Source organism: Homo sapiens, chromosome 11 (assembly GCF_000001405.40).
Source record: "Homo sapiens chromosome 11, GRCh38.p14 Primary Assembly".
NCBI classification, from domain to species: Eukaryota; Metazoa; Chordata; class Mammalia; order Primates; family Hominidae; genus Homo; species Homo sapiens.
In genome coordinates this window covers 118,876,847-118,883,755 of record NC_000011.10, presented here as the reverse complement: position 1 = coordinate 118,883,755, position 6,909 = coordinate 118,876,847, and the positions used below count along the sequence as shown (strand labels likewise).

The following is a 6,909-nucleotide window of genomic DNA, read 5'->3' as shown; positions in this document are numbered from 1 at the left end:
GTCTTTTCTGTTTTTTTGAAGAAAGAGGGAAAATCCCCCACAGCATCAGTGCTAGTCAAGCATTTCAGCTTCTTTCCCGGCAATAATTGTCTCAACTGGGGCCTATGACTAGTTTAAAGGCTGCCCTCACTTCTCCTCCCTATACCCCCAATAAGGGGCTCACAACTTGTAATGAAACCACCACGCAAAGTCAGCAGGTTGATGAGGGAAACTCCTGATCAACAGAGAACAGGAGAAGAGCTCTCCCAGCAACCTCTCCTCCAAGCCACCTCCAAACCTTCATTTTCCTCACCACTAGGGTGATCAACCATTCCAGTCTGCCAAGGACTGAAAAGTCCCTTGACTTGGGAAACCCCTAAGTCCTGGCAAGTTAGGGCACTTGGTCACACTACTTGCCACCATCCTTTTGCCCAACAGAGGCAAAACCCCTTCCCTTCTCAGCTCAAGTTCAGAAAAGATAGGTTAGAATTTTTCAAAGGGAACAACAGTAAAACAATACTGGAAGACAAAAATGAAATCAACTTTGGAAGGCCGAGGCAGGAGGATGGCTTGAGGCCAGGAGTTGGATACCAGCCTGGGCAACATAGCAAGACCATGTCTCTAAAAGAAAAAAAAAAAGTGAAATCACCAAGAAAAGCACATAGTTACAGAGTCATTTTCTGACTCAAAAATAATGATGTTCTATCTATAAATTAACTTTGTTTGCTCATAAATTATTAACCTCATAAACTACCAAGCTAGAGATGGCTTCAGAGATCATCCAGTCTAACCCTCAATTTTTATTCAGGAGGTCCGTGAGGCCGAGAGGGAGAGCAACTTACCCGAGATCCCACAGCTAACCAGTGGCAGAGCTGGGACTTGAACTCAGGTCTTTTGACTCCACCTTTAGTGTTTTCTCTACTCCAGGCTGCCACTCTTGCAGGCACTCATAACCTCTGTCCTTTCCCTCAACTCTGTCCTGTCTGAGGGCCGCTTCCTTTAAGAAGCCGTTTTGTAGATGTTGATCAATTTCCCTTCCAAGTCTCATTTTGTGGCTTTTTCTTCCAGAAGTGGGCATTTCCTCTCTTGATCCACAATGATGTGAGAAAGATGACTGCACGCACAGAGGCACCCACACATGGTGGCTGCTTCTTGGCCCCACCCCCACCCTTGTTATCACGCTCCCTTTCAGCCAAATCGCCCTTTGCTGGGATCCTACTACCCTTTCCAGTGCCCTCCTTCACCCTCTCCTCCATATTCACCTTCCCTCTTTCCCCTCTTCACACCTTGCTTACTGAAGATGCTTACCCCACTGCATCCCCAACAGATGCATCATTCTTTTTTTTTTTTTTTTTTTTTTTTTTTGAGACAGAGTTTTGCACTTCTTGCCCAGGCTGGAGTGCAATGGCATGATCTTGGCTCACCACAACCTCCACCTCCCAGGTTCAAGCGATTCTCCTGCCTCAGCCTCCCGAGCATCTGGGATTACAGGCATGCACCACCACGCCCGGCTAATTTTGTATTTTTATTTATTTATTTTGAGACAGAATTTTGCTCTCGTTGCCCAGGCTGGAGTGCAATGGCGAGATCTCAGCTCACCACAAACTCCACCTCCCGGATTCAAGCAATTCTCCTGCTTCAGCCTCCCGAGTAGCTGGGATTACAGGCATGCGCTACCACGCCCGGCTAATTTTGTATTTTTAGTAGAAATGGGGTTTCTCCATGTTGGTCAGTCTGGTCTTGAATTCCTGACCTAAGGTGATCCGCCTGCCTCAGCCTCCCAAAGTGCTAGGATTACAGATGTGAACCACCGTGCCCGGCCAACAGATGCATCATTCTTAGGATTAAACAGCCTGAGGAGTTTCCAGCCTCTGTTGGTGGTATTGGGGTCGTTTCCTCGCTCTTCTCCATTCACTGCCTTTAGAAGCTGCTTTCAAAGAAGACGGCTTTCAGGACAAGGCATCACACTTCTTCTCCAGCACGTACAGTCCTGAAACCTCCAGGAGGAAGCTGCCCCAAGGTTTCCTGTGTCCCAAGCTTGCTGGGAACTCCTCATCCTTCCATTCACCCTATTCTCAATATCCCTGCCCCTCCAATCCCTTAGCATACTTGACTTAGCCTTGGCCACCCTGGCTAGGGACATTGATCAGGAAGGAGTACAGCGTATAGAATCATAGAGGAATTGAAAGGAACTTTGGAATATAAACCAGACTATCCTCAACCACACCCCCACCCCCAGCAAATGCAAGATTCTCGTCACTGCATCCTTATCAGATGATCACCCAGAATCAATGAATACGAACATCAATGAAGGTGAGACATTTGCTCCTTTCAATAGATCATGTTTCAGTGGAGGATGGTTTCATGATTAGAAACTTATTCCTTATGATGAGTCAAAATATGTCTTCCTGTAACTCCTCTCCAGAGGTCCTGGCTGTGCCTTCTGTCTGGACTGTCTGACTCCTCTTCCAATAAGCATCCTCTGAAGACAGCCAGCACATCCTGAGAGTCTTGTTGTCTCCCAAACACACTTCCACAGTGTCTTCAGTCGTTATTTGCAGACTTGGTTTCTGGGTCCTTTGACGCCCTGTTTTTTGACCTCTGGGTGATTTCTGGTTAATGGTCTAGATATTATCTGACTAGGAAAAAATATAGGACGATATGCATTTCCTTGTTCAAGACTCTATACTTGGCAGGGCGTGGTTGCTCATGCCTGTAATCCCAGCACTTTGGGAGGTCAAGATGGGAGAATCCTTTGAGCCCAGGAATTTGAGACTAGCCTGGGCAACATGGTGAAACCTCGTCTCTACAAAAAATTCAAAAATTAGCTGGGCATGGTGGCACACACCTGTAGTCCCAGCTACTCAGGAGGCTGAGATAGGCGGATCGCTTGAGCCCAGGAGGTTGAGGCTGCAATGAGCCATGATCACACCACTGCCCTCTAGCCTTGGTGACACTCAAAAAAAAAAAAAAAAAAGATTCCATACTTCTATAACTATGTAACTACAATACAATTGGACTTTCCTGCAGGGTCCTACTCCTCTTAATAACATGCCTAAAGGATTTCATTTTGAAGGTTCTGGGCCATTGTTGCAACCTATAAAGGGAAATTTTTCTGATCCCAATTCTGTCATCTGGTGATGTGATAACAACATAGATTAGTCATCCTTGGGTCTATCCAAGTCCTGATGGCAAATATTGACAGGATGAAGCCAAAACCAGAACCCTGCTTCATGCCATTAGAGACTTACTATACCCAAAGGTCAGGAAAGACTTCATGGAAGTCTTGGCCACTGGAGGCTTGGAGAGAGTGAAGGCTTGGTGTGCCTGGAGAGGGGGACAGGGTGGACAGTGTGGGACATGATGAGAACTGCTTGGAAAAAATGTGTAGAAAGAATTATCTGGCCGGGCGCAGTGGCTCACGCCTGTAATCCCAGCACTTTGGGAGGCTGAGGTGGGTGGATCACGAGGTCAGGAGTTCAAGACCATCCTGGCTAACATGGTGAAACCCCGTCTCTACTAAATATACAAAAAATTAGCCAGGCGTGGTGGTGGGTGCCTGTAGTCCCAGCTACTTGGGAGGTTGAGGCAGGAGAATGGCGTGAACCCGGGAGGCGGAGCTTGCAGTGAGCAGAGATTGCGCCACCACACTCCAGTGCGGGCGACAGAACTACCCGGGCATGGCCGGGTGCAGTGGCTCACACCTGTAATCCCGGCACTTTGGGAGGCTGAGGTGGGCAGATCACGAGGTCAAGGGATTGAGACCATCCTGGCCAACATGGTGAAACGCCGTCTCTACTAAAAATACAAAAATTAGCTGGGTGTGGTGGTGGGCACCTGTAGTCCCAGCTACTCAGGAGGCTGAGGCAGAAGAATCACTTGAACCTGGGAGGCGGAGGTTGTAGTGAGCCGAGATGGCACCACTGCACTCCAGCCTGGTGACAGAGTAAGACTCCGTCTCAAAAAAAAAAAAAAAAAAAGAATTACCTTGTGCCTGGCACATCATGGGCCTTCTGTGTATGGTGGTGTGGCTATGGCAATAATGATGATGAGATAGGGCAGGGGGAGGAGCAAGGAAGTGGTTGGAGCATGTACTGGACAAGGTAGGAGCTGCTCTTATGGCCTTCTCCTCTCCTACTCTTTCCACAGTTCTCTATATTTTCCACATGTGCTGTAGGCCTAGAAAAAGAGTTTTGGGGGAGGCTTAAGACTGCTTCCCAGGTGCTATAGCAGCAGGCTCTGGCCAGTAGTTTCAGCTATGATGGTTTGGGCAGCAGAGAGGTAGCCTACCAGCTTCTCTATGGCTGACTCAGGCGTCACACATTAGACACATCTGTGACTGTCACCTGAAGTCTTTGACTTTTTGGGCCTATTCAGAGATCCCATTCTTCTCTCCAGATGGTGAACACACTACAGCTTCCCAGGGTCTACTTGTGTTAGCCTCTGACCTTTGATAGTCAACTCAGTTTGCCCCCAGTGGTAAATACCTTCTGACCTTGAGGCTTTTTCTTTTTCTTTTTTTTTTTTTTTGAGACAGGATCTCATTTCATCACCCAGGCTGGAGGGCAGTGGTACGATCATGGCTCACTGCAGCCTTGACCTCCTGAGCTCAAGCCATCTTCCTGCCTCAGCCTCCCGAGTTGCTGGGACTACAGGCACATGCCACCTCACCTGGCTAATTTTATGTTTTTTGTCAAGACAGAGTTTCACCATGTTGCCCAGGCTGGCCTTGAACTCCTAGGCTCAACCGATCCGCCTGCCTCAGACTCCCAAAGTGCTGGGATTACAGGCATGAGCCACCATGCCCAGCAACCGTGAGTTCTAATATTGTTTTGAGAAGGCTCAGAGAGTTACTGCCTCTACTAGAAACCATGATCTTACAATCTTCACACACATAAAGTCAGACTAGCTCCCTAGGATAGAGAGGGCAACGCTTAAGCTGCGATCCTTTGCCTTTGAAGAGGAGATGTCAGAGGTTCCATCTGTGTGTGACAATCGGATGGCAGAGGACCCTTCCAGGTCAGGCAGCTCAGGTTTTATTTCAGTGTGCAACTTGTTTATATTTCACCTATGCAGGATCCCAATCCCCACCCCATAGGCAGTCTAATTGAGGCTAAATTGTTTTCTAGCCTTCTCGTCAAAATGACCACTGGAGGCTGAACATGGTAGCTCGCCTCTGTAATCCCAGCATTTTGGGAGGTCAAGGGGGGAGGATCACTTGAGCCCAGGAGTTCGAGACCAGCCTGGGCAACATAGGATACCCCATCTCTACAAAAAATAAAAATATTAGCTGGTGGTGCACACTAGTGCTTCCAGCTACTCAGGAGGTTGAGGTGAGAGGATTGCTTGGGCCCAGGAGGTCGAGGTTGTAGTGAGCTGAGATTGCACCACTGCACTCCAGGCTGGATGACAAAGCAAGATCCTATCTCAGAAAAAAAAAAAAAAAAAAAAAGACAGAAAGACTACTGATACTTCCGCCAAGACTGGGTTTGTGTCTGGTTTAGGCAAGGGTGGCCGCTTACATCAGCTCAGGTGTATTTTTCTCAGTAATTATACTTTACAGTCCATGGATTACATTAAATTTCTATTTGTTCCAGAGATTAGATACAATCACTTGTCTTGGAGTTCATTTTCTATATTCCACAGAAAAAGTAAGCTGTTCCACACAGTTTTGGGGTGCTGCTACAGGGAACGGGCTGGGGTTTCCCCTTCTATTAACCTAGGACTCTCTCCCTCTCTGACATGGCCAGAGACTTTGTTCTCTTCTTTCTCTGGGTCTTTCCCAACAGCTGAGAACAGAGCTCCCAGGTCCCTACCTCATCAGCCTCAGGAAGAGTAGGGTATACCTCTCAGCACTGAAGGAAACTCGCCATAGACTTGCATAGCAGTCACCGGTCTACACAGTCCCATGAAAGTTTAAATTTAATGTTACTTAATCTTTATATTTCACTTAATCTTCACATTTAATTATATGTAGTCCTTGAAGCGGCTTGTGCCGGAGGGATTGGCATCACTCCTGGCCGTATTTTGTGAGGACAAGGAAACAGAGTCTCATTTTCTTGCTCGTGATTGCAGGGAGGGTTCGTTGCAGAGTCAGAGCCTGAAGTCAGCCCTGTAGGCACCAAATCCAGGGCTCCCTCCACAAGACCACACGGCCCGTCTCTCAGAGGCGCCATTTTGCAAAGGACAGGCACTTACCTGGCTGGCTAAGGGGAAAACTATGGCTAAATCCTGCACAGGCTCCTCATCAGGTACTTTCTATGTGCCATGAACTATGATAGGTTTTTCACACATCATTTCTTTTCATTCCCTGAACAGTCTTTGAGTGTTGGGTTTTTTGTTTTGTTTTGTTTTTGAGACGGAGTCTCGCTCTGTCGCCAGGCTGGAATGTGGTGGCACCATCTCGGCTCACTGCAACCTCCGACTCCCTGGTTCAAGCAATTCTCCTGCCTCAGCCTCCCGAGTAGCTGGGATTATAGGCACGTGCCGCCACGCCCAGCTAATTTTTTGTATTTTTAGTAGAGACGGGGTTTCACCATGTTGGCCAGGATGGTCTCGATCTCCTGACCTCAGGTGATCCACCTGCCTTGGTCTCCCAAAGTGCTGGGATCACAGGCATGAGCCACCGCGTCCGGCAAAGTGTTGGGTATTTTTATTACCACACTGCAGATGTGGAAACCAAGCTTCAGACAGTAATGGGAAGTAGCATGAATGTTCACAGCTCACTCAGACAGCAGGGACCCAACACCCCATTACAAGTCAACACAGGAAGTGGGGTGGTAAAGGCTGTCATTGCCGGCAGCCTGCACCCACGCACAGCTCCCCTCTCGTTAGGAAACAGGTAGAGTCCTGCAGGGAGGAAATGGGCTGCAGGTGCTGGGTAGGCACATCAAGGTTACCACAAGGTCATGGGGGCCACAAATGAGCTTG

General features: G+C 48.1%; 1 annotated feature.

The window, feature by feature from the left end:
* Nucleotides 152-301: an enhancer, noted in NCBI's record as "active region_5607". NCBI's record gives its function as "activates an Ori minimal core promoter by ATAC-STARR-seq in GM12878 lymphoblastoid cells {active_cell/tissue: GM12878}" and the evidence as "EXISTENCE:reporter gene assay evidence [ECO:0000049][PMID:35858748]".